This window comes from Homo sapiens, chromosome 9, assembly GCF_000001405.40.
Source record: "Homo sapiens chromosome 9, GRCh38.p14 Primary Assembly".
In the NCBI taxonomy this organism is placed as follows: Eukaryota; Metazoa; Chordata; class Mammalia; order Primates; family Hominidae; genus Homo; species Homo sapiens.
The window spans coordinates 17,472,588-17,490,298 of record NC_000009.12 but is presented as its reverse complement, the minus strand read 5'-3'; the positions used below and the strand labels follow the sequence as shown (position 1 = coordinate 17,490,298).

General features: G+C 36.6%; 1 protein-coding gene across 14 annotated transcripts in view; it reads right to left on the bottom strand.

Moving 5' to 3' along the window:
* The window catches only part of CNTLN (centlein), a 393,595-nt gene that overhangs the window by 38,336 nt on the left and 337,548 nt on the right, over positions 1–17,711 (bottom strand). For all 14 annotated transcript variants that reach the window (XR_007061321.1, XR_007061322.1, XM_017014839.2 and 11 more), the window contains 2 exons: positions 5,819–6,004; positions 3,233–3,310 (listed from right to left, as the gene is read on the bottom strand). Coding sequence is in view for 12 of the 14 variants with exons in the window: in XM_017014839.2 (XP_016870328.1) it covers positions 3,233–3,310; positions 5,819–6,004 (264 nt within the window). In the remaining 2 variants the exon portion in view is untranslated. The remainder of the gene's footprint in view (positions 1–3,232; positions 3,311–5,818; positions 6,005–17,711) is intronic.

Here is a 17,711-nt window from a genome sequence, read left to right as displayed (position 1 = left end):
CTGTCTCCAGCCTTTCTAATACCATGGCCAGGCCACATCCAGACTCTCACTGCCCCTTACCTAGAACCTTTTTGCTCCCAGTCTCCTCTCTCCAACCATCCTACAATGTTGGCCTTCAGCATCTTTCTAAAGCACAACTCTGATTACATCCCGACCCTGCTCAAAAGCTTTTATAATTTGGTCCCAGCCTACTTTTCCTATTTCTATCTTTTCTCCCACTCCCTAAACTATAGACAAAGTAATTTTGGTGGTTTCTCCCATCCTGCTTTAATTATCAATTTGCTTCTTTGTCTCTGCCATAAATTACAAGTTTTAAAAAATATATCAATGTGAAAAGAGAGATTTATACAGATTAAAAATGTTCAAAGAAATTAAAGGCAGCTATGCCATAGAAAGATGAAAGTAGACTTAGTAAGATTTTTTCAGTGTGGTTCTTATTACTAGAAATCTCTGGGGACAAAGACAAGCTGCAGATAAATGTCAAATATAAAAAATTACCAATAGCATCACAACTACTTGAAATAATGGCATATATCTGAGTTCTGTATCAAATATACATAAGTTAAAATTTTAGACCTTTTAGTTCTCATGCACTTGTAGCTAACAACAGCAGTAGGTATCATATTATTATTAGTTCCACATTACCACATGGAAGAACAGCTTTTTATTTTGTGGTGAATATTTTATCAATATGACATTCTATCAAACAAAAGCAGAAAAAAAAATATTTTTTTTAACAGAAAGCAATTCTGTGGCCCAATCAAACAAAAGACAAAATCACAGGGCCAGATTCACCCTGATAATCTCAGGATTTGATCACATACAGCACCCAACACACAGAGAGGACATAAAAGAGAGGTTTTCCAATAATTTTATCAAAATATTTGAATAAAAAAATCAACATTGGACTAATTAGTAATTTTTAGAAAATGTCTTCAGTTATTCCACAATGTGAAGATGATGTAAGCTCATACCCAATGAGCAATAAGCCATAAACTAAACAAAATGTATGAATGAACATATTTACACTTTTGCCCATACAATCCTGTGAGTGTAACTCAGACTCTAAAAAAAGGCTGGTGGGCAAAGAAAACCTTTTCTAAAATTCAGGACAAATATAATTGCTTGGATTGAGAGAGAAGAAAAGTAGGCTAAAAAAAAAAGGTGTTTTCTATTTTATAGATTTTTCTCTTGGGTGTAATTATAAAGTGACATTCAAGTGCAACCAATGAAGTACCTATTTGTTCTCTCACAAAATTCAAAGACATCAGCAAAACCACCTATGTCAGTAATAAAAATAAAAAGTCTTTGACTTTTTAAATGTTATCATACTGTCACAGTGGAATAAAATTAGCTTGAAAAATGATCTAAAGGCACATGATGCAGTTCATTACGTATAACAGCAACAGCAGCGGTTTCCCAGTGTTCATAAAGGCTGCTCCATTAAATTTACCTCCAGTCAATAATTAGGAGTCCACAAATAAACCTGGGCAATTAAATCAATACTGCCTGGCAATTATATTCCAGAGTCCAGGCTCAGTGGCACAAAAAGGCACTATATCAAGCTGCAGTATTAAGCAGTCTGATGCCATTTTCAACAGAATTTTTTTATACTCACTGGACAGAATAAGCATACATTCAGCTAATGCAGAATGTATGTATATACCTCTCCACGTGTTAACCAAAAAAACTCAGGTCCAGTGTCAGTACAGTTTTAGTAAAATTTAACAAAGCTTTACACGTACAGATTTATTATTTTTATAGTCATAATTATGATAAAATTTCTAATTCAAATAAATACAGGCCATATTTACAAAGTGAACATTTTAAAAATTCATTAAAAAGTTTATTTTTATCATTTTCAAGTTGAAAAGAAAAACCTCATTACAATCATTATTGAATTCTTTGATGTGTCAGCCACTGAGCTAGGTTCTGGGAGTACCACATGATTAAGAAATGGCCTCTGTTCTCAAAAGCAAGTAGTCAGTGTAAAAGGCTTTGTCTAGCACCTGCACATCTACACTTAAACAACTTTCAGCAAATGATTTTTAATCACCTATTGTTATTAAAGTGATTCCAGACAATGTTTCAAAAATATATCAAACTGATACTAACATGAATTGTTGATATACTATTTATTTATTCTCGACTTTACTAAAAGCACGGAAACTGATACTTGTTAATATAAATGTAAAATAATTGCATTTAATATCAGTTTCTATTTTTAATCTTTACACAGAAACATTTACAATGACTTTCCAAAAATCACAGGACAATTTTTGGGGTATTTTGACAAATATGTTTTGGCTTTTATTTATTCCAGTCCATTTAAAAAATAAAAAATTAGGTTAAGCCGAAAGAACTATAATGAAAAAGTTTTAGAATACATTACATGCTGTCAGTGATGTCAAAACAAAAGCTGGCTATGACTAGAAAAGCAGGGCTCTCACCTGCCAATAAACTGCCCTTGATCACTTACAAGAGGGGCGCATCCCAGCAGACTATATGTGTATTAAAAAAATACTTGAAAGGGAAGAAAAAGTATCACACAGGTCACAGCAGCAGTCTCAACAGACCCCTCAGGGATTTCAACTCGTCTTGGCCTTGTCATCCTCTATGCAGCTTTCCACTCGGCCCAGAAAATGTCGATAGGAAAATGTTTGAGGGGCCTCTGGTGGAAATTTTTTCATTCTTTCTGCATTGACAGGATGCCAAATCAATATTTACTTCCCACTAACAAGCTGCTCGAGGTCTCAGTAGAAAATATTGTAGAGAATGCGGGAAGACACAGTAATAAACAGCTGTCTGGCTGTGAGGAAAACATGAATTGACTGGAAACAGGTCCATAGTAAAAGGTCACTGAAACCCATGAACTCCTCAGGTGTCCATATCAAATACTAACTTTAAAGACACATAATAAAGAATCTCTTTTCCTAAGAGGTCTGGGAGAATGGATCCTTTTCAGTCTAGCAAGCACAGAGGTTGACTCAATAATTTAATTAATGCATTTGCTAAGACCCATGTTGGCTCTATCCCAAGGTATTTGTTTCATTTGTTAAGTCCCAAAGTACAAATAGAGGGTTAACTTTCCTTTCTACCTATTGGAATACTTCTTTACCTAACAGAAGTAAACAATGGGGAAGTGTTTACAAAAAGTTAGACATCTGGTGAAAATGTAAGGCTTGGAATTCTTATTTGGAAGCTTAATATATGAAACAGAAAAATGAAATACCTGTCCTTCAAGAAGTTTCTGAATGTACAACATCCATTCCTTGTCATTTTCAGCATCAATTTTTGTTTTTTCAATTTCCTGAAGAAAAAAAATAAAAACACTGGTGTTAACGAAATTTATATGAACTTGTTTATACTATTAGATACTGAATAAATCTGGAGTAATATCAGTAGAATTAGATTCAACAAAGAACAGTCTGTCATCTCAAAGTAGAAATATTTAAGTCCATGCTCTTTAAAATTTAATTTATCGATACGTACTACGGAAGATATAGCTATATTTATATACTTCACAGTAATTCAGAAATATTTAATTTCTACCTTCACAGTGGAGCTCAAAGTAGGGGCTAATATGGGGGTGAAAGCAATTAAAGTGAAAAATCAGATGGAGTTATATAAAAGAATCATTTACAGGTGACTCTCATGAGATAATACAAAACCTAATATTCCAAAATCTGACTTGTCAGCAGATAACTAAGGAGTAATTGTTCATTACAAACAGAATAGAACATGGCATGACTCCGGTATATTTAAATGCTTGTTGATTCAAACTATCCAATAATCTACTGATAGGCCAGGGACACTCCAACTTAAAGTGCTATAGGTCACAAAGTATTTTCAACCCATCAATTATCATGACAGAATATTTCTGGAATTGAAATGTATTCACACGTACAGTTGATGATTCACTTGAAATTGTAATTTCAGTTTACGAAAAAAAAAACTGACTTTCCAAGAAGGGAAGGGCGTGAGAAACTATTATTTGTTGAAATTTACTGTATGGCAGGCATCATGCTAGGCACTTCAGATAGGCTATCACAGTTTCTGATGTGAATTTACTACAGTTCGATATAGTGTAAAGAACATAAATCAGGTGATCTGGGCTCTGCTTGGGCAAATCCTTGGACCTCTGGAAGATGACAGGATCAGTCTAAATAAGCTCTGGTCTATAATGAAATCTAGTAAATATATCAAAATGTACCTATCCCTCTTAGAACAGTGTGTTTATATCTCTTATTCTTTCAGGAGGGACTTGATTTAAGATTGTGTGACATGCATATTACAGTGCTGTGTACTCTTGTCTTCAGATTCCACCTGCCCAGAGGCAGAGGTGTCACTTATTCACAGACATGCACCATCTAGTCTTTGGGGCTATCAAGAGAGATCCTTTTCTAATTCACATATTCAAAGAGGACAACCTTTCTGATTTGCTCATTCAAAGAGGGCTTTTTTTGCTAATTTGTTAGCCCAGAGAGTGCATCATTTTAGAGATTACTTGGTCTCAAAAAACATGGTGGCTCTGTGTTCCAGAATATGTACATGTGTTAGCATCATGTACATGTAAACACATACATGCACACAGGCATACTCACATGAGACACTGTGCTAAATCTGTGTGTTTTAAAATTTCTAGGCAACAGTAGAGGCCTTACCCTTAAATTTTGGTTAGGTTTCTCATCAATCGACATATTTTAATTAAATGCCTATAATAAGGCTTAGTTAACACCCTTGCCAGAAGTAATATTACTCCCATGTGTCTTACATTTGGTACTATATGTGATATTGTTCTTATACTTCAAAGTTTAGAATTTGATAGAAAGTCGCAGACGTTTTGGCATAGCTGCTGAAAACAGAAACTGGGAATTCACCCACTGGATGAAAATAATACCTGTAGGATTCCTTTTAACTATTATCTGAGGATTCTTGGTAGTTCAAAAATCTTTACATATTGTAGATTTGCTCTATTCCAGAAGATCTTTCAGAAGCTGAAGAGGGGGCCAGAGGATGATCTCATACAGACACCCAAGTCTATCATTGAACAAATATTTGTTGAGAAGCTGCTAGTGCCACCATCTTTTAGCATTCCAAAGGATAAAAATCTAATATTCATGAATTAAAGCTCAGAGCCATAGTAGGATAGGAATGAGCATCCTACACATGTTTCGCAAAAGACTGCGTGGTATGAGATTCTGCTGTTATGAGGCAGTGGCTATGTAAAAAATGCAGTGTCTTTCCCAAGAGGTGCTGAAATGCTATTAAAGACTATGCCTGTATGCATATAAATTCACTCAGACAGAAGTATTTTAACCAATTTTAAGCAATAAATATTTTTCAACAATATATTTTCAAAGCGTATACTGGTGAATAATAATTTTGAATTTAGCTATGAAAGCCAATAGATTTGGCACTTTTTAAAAAATATCACAAAGAGAAAAAAACTTCAAATCAATGGAGATCAGCTTAACTAAATCCATTTAAGCTAGCTTAATTAAGTATACTGGTTTACATGATATATAATATGATTAAATTAAAGAAAATGGAGGAGATAGGAAAGAATAAATGAATAACAAGTAATTTGAAAGGTTATAAGTACTAGCTTATTTCTATATTATAAAGTTAAATTTCTTTAAAGGCTTTTTGAGTTAGTTAATACTTGATGTGTATCTTTCATTGGCACTTTAACCATCTTACCATCATTAACACTCTCTTAAAGATGAAATTCTAAGAGGTATAAAACAAATAAAAATATCTACTTAAGTCCAGTGTATAATAAACCCTTTAATAATAAATATTTAAATGATCTTACCACTTGATCTTCTGTGTCTAATATTTCCTCTAAATCTGACCGTGAAATGTTCAGGATAGAAGCTGCCAAGGTCTGGGCTTTATGGGTTGAGGTTTTACAGGCGTCCCTGTTTTTCTTCATTTTTTTAAGCTCTCTTATTTGTCGCCTTACCACATGGACATCATTTTGCAACTCTTTGGCCAAAGCCTGTAACATATTGGAAAGAAATTGAGCTTATATTAAAGTCATAATGAAGACAAAGCAGTAATAACATAAAAATATGAAGATACTAACAAATCATTTTTTTACTAGGATTACTCTGGTTTTAATTACTCTGGAATATAGTGGATTGCTCTTTACCTATTGTCAGCACGCAATAAAAGTTCTCTTCAATGAATACTTAACCAACTTGCTGGATTAAGCAAAGCTCCCCCATCCCTCTTTCAGATACACCAACTGGTATCTTGCTTGGTGAATGCTTACAGCAGGCAGGCTATTTTTAATCAGCACAACAACTTCTACTAGTTGACCTAACACTAAGAGTCAGGTTCTCATTATTCCACAATGTGCATATATTATTTGTAACAGGTTAGCTGCATAATTCATTTAATGGTTACATAAACCAATGAAAGATTACTGCAGAAAGAACTGTTTCTATTTTATCAATAGTAGATTACAAATGCTTTGGAAGAAGTTGAGAAGGACAAATTGGGTCAAAGTTCAATTACATGTGGTAAATTATGAGTGGGCAAGACAACAATGAAGGATTGAAGAAAAATCATTAAAAAATCAAGAACTACTTCACAAGCCTTTAAGTTGCCTCTTTGAGAAATCAGTAAAAGCTAGCCCATACCACACCTACGTGTGGGTAACAAAAAGTTACTCCTTAATTTGGTTGGACAGAGTGCTTCAATACATGGCTTTGTGAGCTGAGAGCAGGTTAGTTAGATGTTTGGGCTGTTTCCAATCTTTTGTTAGCACAAGCAATGTTAGAATAAATAATGGTGCTCAGATATTACTTTTGCATCTCCAGGATATATGGCTAGAATTGAAACTGCTGGATCAAAGGGTGTGTATAACTATAATTTTGACAGCTGTTACTTAATTCTATCCCTGTTCTCCATCCAAGATAGCACTAATATATATCTCCACAAAGAATGTATAAAAAGTATCTGTTTCTCCACACAACTAGCAAAATACCAATATGCTATTTCAGAGTAGCTTGTGTTTTTGCTGTATTTTAAAGTTTCATTTCTCTCATTATAAACAAAGTTGAGCATCAGCCTTAAGAAATAATTATATTTTCTTTGTCATTTTTTGTTTTTTCTTAGGGATTTATAGGAGTTCTTCACGTATTCGGGAAATTATATTTGCCTATTGTATATATTTCAATTATTTCATTATTTGTTCTTTTTCTTTTGACAGTACTGTTTGATGTCACAGAAAAATATTTTTAATTTTGTATGTATTCAAATTAATGAATCTTTTCCTTTCTCGCTTTTGAATTTAGCGGGATACTTTAAAAAGCATTCTCCACAATGAGGTATATAAAAATACTTTCAAACCACAATTTTTTTGCTACTTTTTTATTTTTCAGTTAAAATTTTTTTATCCATTTGTAATCATTTAGAAGATTATTAAATAAAATCATACTCACTTGTCCCATCACCACTTAGCAGTCCATCTTTCTCCAAGTGGTTTCATAAATGTTTGTCAGTGTCTGAACTTTCTATTCTGTTCCATCTCTTTTTATTAGTTAAGTTTTATATTTGAGTATATTTTAACTAATGAGGCTTTACAACACATTTTAACATTGGGTAAAGCAATCTCTCTCACTACCCTTCTTTATCAGATTTTTCTTGCTGTTCTTGCTTGTTTGGTTTTCCATATGAATTTCACATTCAGCTTGTGTAGATTCTCTGCCCCTTAAAAATATCTTACTGTGGTAATTTTATTTCAATCATGTTACATTTTATTTGGAGCACGTTGACATTTTGGAATGCTGAGTCTTCCTAATCAAAGAACATGGTATTCCTTTCCATTTGTTTAGGTCTTTATCTGTGTTTCAAAGGATTGTTTTAAAGTTTTCTCTTTATAGATCTAGTTTATTTCTGGGCATTTTATTTTATTTTACATATATTTTCTTATTTTTATAGGAGTTTTTCAGTTGATTACTTTTTCTAGGAATTCAAATAACTAACTGCAAAGACTGATAACTTTATCTCCTTTTTTAAATCTTTATACCTCTAATTTACTTTTCCTTTCTTATATATAATACCTCTCAGTTTGATCATGTGTTGTCTTCCTAATTTGGTTTAGTTGTCCATCATGTTTTCTCATAGTTGACTGAACTTTAAGAGGGCTAATCTGAATTTGTTGTCAGTTTCTATATATTCATTTACTTAGGGTTAATTATTTGCGCTTTATTATTTTCCTTTGATTATGTCATTTTTCCATGATTCTTCATATCCCTGTATCTTTGCACTGGTGTCTGTACATTTAAGGAAGCAGCCACTTCTTCCAGCCTTTACAGGTTTTCTTCAGCAGGAATAGTCCTTCACCAGTCAGTCCAACCTTTGGATCTGAACAGGCCAGCAGACAACATCCATGGGTAGGCAGGCAGTACTTGCTGTCAGGTTCTCTAGCTGGGCAGGGCTGCTGCCCATACTGCTAAGGTCAGGTGGGGCCACTGGTTGGGCTCTGCAGTCAGACAGGGCTGCTGGCTAGGCTCTAGAATTGCTTCCTGTTGGGCAGGATCACAGGCTATGCTCATTGGCCATGTGCTGCCATGTGTTAGGCTTTGCAGTTGGGCTGCAGGTAGGCTTCATAATCATCCACAGTTGGGGGGCATCCAGGATAGGCTCTCTGGTCAAATATTGCTGCTGGTTGGACTCCTTGCTCAGGCAGGGCTGCACATTGGGCTGCATGATGAAGCAGGGCTGCAAGATGTACGCTGCAGTTGGGTGGGGTCATTGGCTTGGTTCTCTCTCTGGACAGGACTACTGGCTTTGCTGTGTGGTTGGTCAGTGTTGTTACAGGACTCCCAGGTCAGGCTGGCTGCAAGCTGGGTTCCATGATTAAGTGGGGCTACAGGCTGGGTTCCTTGACCAGGTGAGGCTGTTGATGTGCTCTGCGCTTGAGCTCCCTGGTTGGATGGGGCTGTCAGCTGTGCCCCATAGTTGTTGGGGCTAAAGGCTGCACTCCATGATCAATTGAGGTAACTGACTGTATTCTGGGGTCTGGCAGGGTCAATGGGTTGGCTCTCTGCCCAGGCATGGCCATAGGCTGTGCTTAGCAAATGGGCAGGGCTGTGGGCTGAGCTCTATAGCCAGGTGGGGTTGCTAACTAGGCTCCTTGGTCGGCGGGGTCCAGACTGTGCCCCACAGTTGGGTAGGGACTGTGGTGCGGCTCCCTGCCTGGGTGGGTACGTAAGCTGGGATCTGGGGCTGGCAAGGTTGCTGTTCCAGGTCTCAAGGTGGGCAGGGCCAGAGGCTGTGCTCTGGCAAGATTGTCAGCTTGGCTCCCTGTCTAGGCAAGGACTTGACAAATTTGTTTTTGTGTATTACACACATAGCTTAAGATTCCTATGTACTTCTCCTTGATTACACTTCATTTGTATTATTTTTCTAATATCTAAAATTCAAAGTTACATTTTGGCTGAATTACAAAGGTTTTAATATTCTTACTGCTTTTTAATTTGAAACAGTTCATGAACTTACTTTTTATTTCTTCCTTAACCCTAAATCAGATAGAAGGGTTTACAATTTTTAAGTGGATAGATAAATTTTGGCCACTTATTTTGTTAAATCACAGTTATATTACACCATATTCGAGGCAGATAGCTAAAACAATTTTTCTGTTTTTGAATTTGTTAAATTTTGTGGCTTAAGATGTCAGTAGTTTCTGTGAATGTTCCACATGGCTTTGAAAACAAAGTAGCCTTATGTTTTCTCTACTTGAATTATTGATTTCTGAGTATAGTACATACTAAATATACTGCAGGACAGTAAATACACCTAAGGATTCATCAATTTCCATCAAATTTTGCTTAACATGTTTTCAGATACATAAACATTTCATAATTTCTACATTTTCTTCACAAACTATCCATTCTTGTCATTCCTAATGTGTTTTTTTTTTTTTGCCATTAATTTTGTCTTGGAATAATATTGCTATATCTTCTTTTTCTTAGCATTTATCTGATGTATATTTAGTTGTGTGCTGGTAAATCAGTTCTTTGGATGTTGGGGGAAGAGCATGACTTGTAATGTTTGTTGATTTTTTGGTACGGATATGTTTTTTTGTTTTTTAGAGATGGGGTCTTGCTCTGTCACCCGGGCTGAAATGCAGTGGTGTAATCATAGCTCACTATAGCCTTGAACTCCTAGGCTCAAGTGATCATCCTGTCTTGGCCTTGAAAAGTGTTGGGATTACAAGCATGAGCCCACCATGACCGGTCAATTTCTGTGAAATAAATATATGCACCATGATTGATTTCAAGCAACCAACATGAATAAGGGGTTGGAAAGAGACACCCAAAACTGGCTCTTGTGGTACAAGCTAGTCCCAGGATACCATATTTTTTAAATCTTTTAAAGCTTTTGGATAACTATATTTTAAGTGCATCTTTTTTTCTATCATAGTCTGTCTTCTTTCCTCTTTGTTCAAAAGATACATTTCAGCTCTATTATTTATATTATAGTTATTGGTATATTTGGATTTATACCAGTCATGTTATTCTATCTTCTTTTTCTCTCTCTAGAGTCAACTATTTCCTTCATGAATTTTTCTTTTCTTCTAATTTTATTGTGGTAAGAATACTTAGCATGAGACCTACTCTCTTAACAAAATTTTAAGTGTACATCATTGTTGACTATATGTACAATGTTGTACACAAATCTCTAGAGCTTATTCATCTTGCTTGAAACTTTACGCCTATTAATTAAAAATTCCCCATTTCTCAGTCTCCCCAATCCCTTCCAAACACCATTCCACTCTTTGATTCTATAAATTTGACTATCATAAACACTCATAGAAGTGGAACCGTGCAGCACTTGTCTTTCTGTAACTGGCTTTTTTTCACTGAGCATAATGCCGTCGGAGTTTATCCATGTTGTTGCATACTGCAGAATTTCCTTCTTTGTTTAAGGGTAATCAATTGTTGTTTATACAACATTTTCTTTATTCATTCATCTCTTGATGGACATTTAGATTGTTTCTACATCTTGGCTGTTGTGACTAGTCCTGCAATGAACACAGGAGTCCTAACATCCATTCAAGATCATGATTTCACTTCTTTTGGATAAATACCCAGAAGTGGGATTACTAAGTCCAATGGTGGTTCTCTTTTTAACATTTTGAGGAATCTCCACACTGTTTTCCATAGCAGCTGCACCACTTTGCATTCCCACCAACAGTGTACAAAGGGTCCAATTACACCACATCCTCACTCACACTTATTATCTTTTTTTAAATAGCTGCCATCCTGACAAGTGTGATGTGTTATCTCACTGTGGCATTGATTCGCATTTCCCTGATAAGTGACATTGAGTTTGTTTCTGTTGGTCATTTGTGTGTTTTGGAGAAGTCTGTATTAAAGTCCTTAACCTATTTTTTAACATACAACAAGCCTACAATAATTAAAAGAGTATGATACTGGCAAAAAGACAGACATAGACCAATGGAACAGAATAGAGAACCCAGTAATAAATCCATAAATATAGTCGACAGGGTGATATATAACGGTGAAAGGACAGTCTCTCCAGTAAATGATGCTGGATAACTGGATATCCAAAGGCAAAAAAATTGAAATTAGACTCCTCTCTTACACCACAGACAAAAATCAGCTCAAGATGGATAAAAGACTTAAGTATCAGACCTGAAAGCATAAAATTTCTAGAAGACGCTTGAGTCCAGGAGTCGGGAGTCCAGCGTGGGAAACAGAGTGAGACGCCATCTCTTAAAAAAAAAAAGAAAAAACTCCTACAAGAAAACATTTTAAAAAATCTCTATGACACTGGTCTGGACAATGATTTTTTTAGAAATGACATCAAAAGCAAAGACAACGTAATCAAAAATAAATAAGTAGGACTACATCAAACTAAAAGGCTTCTGCACAGCAAACAACAGTGAACAGGCAACCTACACAATGGAAGACAAATATTTTCAAATCACATATCTGATAGAGGTTAATAGCCAAAATACAGGCATACTTGAGACATATCATGGGTTCCATTTCAGACCACCACAATAAAGCAAATATCACAATAAAGTGAGTCATACAATGTTTTTGGTTTCCCAGTGAATGTAAAAGTTATGTTTATAAGCATTCAATAGCATTATGTCTAAGAAATGTACATATCTTAATTAAAAATACTTTATTATTAAAAATGCTAATGATCATCTGAGCCTTCAGCACATTGTAAAAACTTTGCTAGTGGAGAGTCTTGCCTCAAGGTTGATAACTGCTGACAAATTAGGGTGATGGTTGCTGACAGCTGGGCTGGCTGTGGCAATTTCTTTAAGACAACAGTGAAACTTGCCATATTAATTGATTCTTCCTTTCATGAAAGATTTCTCTATAGCATGTGATGCTGTTCAGTAGCATTTTACCACAGCACAACTTCTTTCAAAACTGGAGTCAATCCTCTCAAACCCTGCCACTGCTTTATCAACTAAGTTTATGGAATATTCTAAAACTTTTGTTGTCATTTCTACAATGTTCACAGCGTTTTCACCAGGAGGAGATTTCGTCTCAGGAAACCGCTTTCTCTACTCGTCCCTAAGAGGCAACTCCTCATCCATTCAGATTTTATTTTGAGATTGCAGCAATTCAGTCACATATTGGGCTCCATTTCTAATTTTAGTTCACTGGCTATTTCTACCACATCTGCAGTTTCTTCCTCCACTAATGTCTTGAACTCCTCAAAGTTATCCATGAAAGTTGGAACAAACTTCTCCAAACTCCTGCTAACGCTGCTATTTTGACCTCCTCCCATGAATCATTAATATTCTTAAATGGCATCTAGAATGGTGAATCCTTTCCAGAAGGTTTCCCATTTACTTTGGCCAGCTCCATCAGAGGAATCACTATCTACAGAAGCTATGCCTTGTGAAATGTATTTCTTAAATAATAAGACTTTAAAGTCTTCAACTTTAAAGTTGAAATTACTCCTTGAAACATGAGCTGAAGAATGGATACTATATTAGCAGGCATGAAAACAGCATTAATCTCAATGTACATCTCCATCAAAGCTCTTGGGTGACTAGGTGCATTGTCAATGAGCAGCAATATTTTGAAAGGAATCTTTTTTTCTAAGCAATAGGTCTCAATATTGGGCCTAAAATATTCAGTAAACCATGCTGTAAATACATGTGTTGTCATTTAGGCTTTGTTGTTCCATTTATGGAGCATAGGCACAGTAGATTTAGCATAATTCTTAAGGGTCCTAGGATTTTTGGAATGTGAAATGAGCATCGGCTTCAACTTAAAGTCCCCAGCTGCATTAGCCCCTAACAAGAGACTCAGCCCGTTCTTTGAAGCTTTGAAGCCAGGCATTGACTTCTCCTTTGTAGCTTTCTCTTAGATGCCATCTTCTTCCAATAGAAGGCTGTTTTGTCTACATAGAAAATATGTAGTCATTTTCATCAGTTATCTTACCTAGATCTTTTGGATAACTTGCTGCAGCTTCTACATCAGCACTTGCTGCTTTACCTTGTATTCTTAGGTTATGTAGGTGGCTTCCTTCCTTAAACCTCAGGTAGCTTCAAAGTTTTCTGCTGCTTCCTCACCTCCCTCATCCTTTGAAGAACTGAAGACAGGGCCCTGCTCTGGATTAAGCTTTGGCTTAAGAAACTGTTGTGACTGGTTTAATCTTTTATCCAGACCACTAAAACTTTCTGTGTATCAGCAATAAGGCTGTTTCACTTTCTTATCATTTGTGTATTCATGAAGTAGCATTTTTTTACTTCCTTCAGTAGCTTTTCCTTTGCATTCATGACTTGGCTGTTTGGTGCAAAAGGCCTAGTTTCAGCCTATCTCAGCTTTTGACATGCCTTCCTCACTAAGTTTTTCTAGCTTCTGATTTCTAGCTTTTGATTAAAAGTGAAAGATATGTGATTCTTCCCTTCATTTGAACACTTAGAGGTCACTACAGAATTATTAGTTGGCCTAACTGCAATATTGTTGAGTCTCAGGAAGTAGGAGGCTCAGGGAGAGGGAGTGAGATGGGGGAAAAGACAGTTGGGCGGAACAGTCAGAACACACATAATATTTATCTATCAATTTCACTGCCTAATTAATATGGGTTCAGCTCATGGCACCTCAAAACAATTAAAATAATAACATCAAAGATTAATGATCACAGAACACCATAACAGATAGAATAATAATGAACAAGTTTGAAATACTGCAATAGTTACCAAAATGTGACACAGAGACACAAAGTGAGCACACACTGTTGGAAAAAAAAATAGAGCTGGCAGATTTGCTTGAGGTAAAGCTGCCACAAATCTTCAATTTGTAAAAAACACAGCATCTGAGAAAAGCAATAAAGCAAACACAATAAAATGAGGTATGTCTGTATTTAAGGAACAGCTACATCCTATCTTCTTTTTTTTTTTTTTTTTTGAGAGAGAGTCTTGCTCTGTCACCCAGGCTGGAGTGCAGTGGCGCGATCTTGGCTCACTGCAAGCTCCACCTCCCGGGTTCACGCCATTCTCTTGCCTCAGCCTCCCAAGTAGCTGGGACTACAGGTGCCCACCACCATGCCCAGCTAATTTTTTTGTAGTTATAGTAGAGACGGAGTTTCACCATGTTAGCCAGGATGGTCTTGATCTCCTGACCTCGTGATCCACCCACCTCGGCCTCCCGAAGTGCTAGGATTACAGACGTGAGCCACTGTGCCCGGCCCCTATCTTCTTTATTTACTATTTTTCTTATTGTTCCCTCCCTCCCTCCCTTCCTTCTTTCCCTGTTCATTCCCTCTCTCCCCTCTTTTTTATTTCCCGGCTTGTGTTAGATTGATGGAGCTTTCTTTATTTCTTTTTTCCATCATATTCTTTACAAATTAAATATTTTTATTCTTATGGCCATCTTTAAATATTTCAAATATATATTTAATATTATATTTTGAATCAATATCTAGAGTTTCTCATACCCCATATTGTTCCACCAAAGCAAAAAGGAAACTCAACTCTTCCAACCAACCCATTACCCCCATTTCTAATACTGCAATCGTTAAGGTCAATAATGATTTAGATTTAACCAGCTTACAGGTTTTACTAGCTTCTTTGTTTTCCATTGTTTCATATGTTTGAAATTTGACAGGGCAAAGAGACCTCAAGTAGTGACAAGATAAACTACCTGAATATAAGGAAGAGGAGGACAAAGACCTTGAGAGAGAAGAGGGCCTGCAGTGTTCAAAAAAGAGCAAGAAAGTCAGTCAGAAAGAAAGGCTAAAGTGGAATAGTGAGGTAAAATGTAGTAGAAAGTGAAGTTGCAGAAGTAACAATAAAATTAATCATGGAGTCCTTCATGGGCAGTCAAGGTTTTCCATTTTCTTGAGTAATAAGGAGTCATGCCAGGAGACTAGAGTAAGGGAGTAATTGGATATTTTCCCTTTTTTTTTTTTTTGAGGTGGAGTCTCACTCTGTCACCCAGGCTAGAGTGCAGTGGCGCGATCTTGGCTCACTGCGACCTCCGCCTCCCAGGTTCAAGCAATTCTCCTGCCTCAGCCTCCAAAGTAGCAGGGATTACAGGCGCTTGCCACCATGCCTGGCTAATTTTGTATTTTTAGTAGAGACGGGGTTTCACCATGTTGGCCAGGCTGGTCTTGAACTCCTGGCTTCAAGTGATCCACCCACCTCGGCCTCCCAAAGTGCTGGGATTACAGGCGTGAGCCACTATGCCTGCCCATGTTTTCCATTTTAAAAGGATCATTCTGCCAACAGATGGAGAAAAGACTGTTCTGGATCAAGAGCTGAAAGGGCAGACTAATGCATAGGTACAAGCAAGAAGTGATAGTAACCACAGCAGTGGTGACAGGTAGCAGACTCCTGGGTCTATTTTCAAACAGGAGCAGACACGATTTGAAGTATCAGAAATGCAACATGAGAGAAAGGGAAGAGCCGAAGATGATTACAGATTTGGAGCCTAACCATCTGGATGACTAGTGAAAATATTGTTCTGGGATAGAGAAAAAAAGCTAGGAGAAGCAAAATAATTTTTTTTCAACTTTTTTGTACATGTTAAGTTTGAGATGCCTATTAGACATCCAAGTGAAAATCACAACTAGGCAGGAAGATTTAAAAATCCATAGTTTCAAAGACAGGATGAGAACAGATATATATTAGGGAGTCATAGGTCAGAATATGGCATCTTAAATTACAGTGTTGGTACAGATTGTCTAGAGAGCGAGTATAGATAATGAAGAGGAAAGGTATAAAGACTGAACCCTAGGAAACTCCAACACTTATGTCTGTCAGGAAGAGAATGAGAACTAGCAAAGAAGTCAGAGAAGACCGGCTAGATGTGATGAGGAAAACCAATACAGTGTAGTACATCATAAGGAAGGCTTTAAAAAAGTGCTTCAAGGAGGAAGGAGTGATCAACGATATCAAATGCTCCCAAGGGTTCAAATAAGATAAGAACTAAGAACTGAGAACTGATCACAGATTGGGCAATATGGAGGTTACTGGTGACTTTGAATAAACTACTTTGGCGGGGTAATAAGATTGAAAGCCTAATTGGAGAAGGTTCAAAACAGAATGGAAGATAAGAAAGTGGGTAGAGAATAGGTATCACTTTTGAGGTGTTTTGCTACATAAAAGAGGAGAAAAATGAGTCAGCAGTTAGAGGAGATACAGAGTCAAATGAAGGGTTGTTTTTTGTTTTGTTTTTTTTTTTTTTGGTAAATGGTGTGTGTTTGCTAATGAAAGTGATCCAATATAGAGGGAATATTGGTGATACAAAGTGTAGGGTTGAAACTACAGGGCCAAAGTCCTTGCGAATATGAGGAGATAAAATCCAGTGTGCAAAGTGAGGTATTAGCTCTAGACGGGCATGCAGATGGTTCATTCCCAATAGGAGGGAAGGGACAGTATGTGGGTACAGATTTGGGAGGAATGTGAAAAATAAAGGTAATGAAAAAAAGGAGGAAATTATCTCTGGGTTGCTTCTGTTTTCTCAGTGAAAGACGCAGCTGAGATTGAGTGGCTAAGCAGAGGATGCTGGAGGTTTGAGAAGATAGCAGAATGACTGGGAAATGTGGAGCCTGAATGCACTGGGAACTATATAATTAGGATTATCACATAGTGCTGAGAGCCCACCTGAAGTTCTTGGTTATCTGTTTAAATAAAGATGAATCAGCATGGTTATGTTTTTATTTAATCACATTCACTTCCTTGGGTTCAGGTGGGAAGTAGGCAGAGATTCAAAATAAAGTAGGTTTGAGTTTTTTCCACATGAATATGACAAAGGGACATATGAGGAAGTTGAGGATATATGCAAGAAAGTGACGATGATACAACACAGAATCCATGCTGCATGAGGAGGGAAGTAAGGGCACAGTGGGAAGGAGGGTGGTAGTAATTAGTGAAAAAGTGGTAAGGCCAGTGAATTTGAGTTACGATCAGGTCAAAAATTGTTGCACTATGAGCACAAAAAGAAATAGTGGTCAAAGAATAAAATGCTGGAAATGGAGATTTTGGAATTCAGTTATGCGTAATGACAAGGCCAAGGGTAGTGTTTCTTAGTGGGAACATTTTTGGCATTTGAGAAAAATGACAATTTTTCACTGTATGAGATTTTTCTTCCCAATGCAGAACTTTTAACCACCCTGGCTCCTGGGTATTGAATGCTAGTAGCATCTACCAGTCAGTGTAACACAAAGCACCCACATACATTTCCAAATGC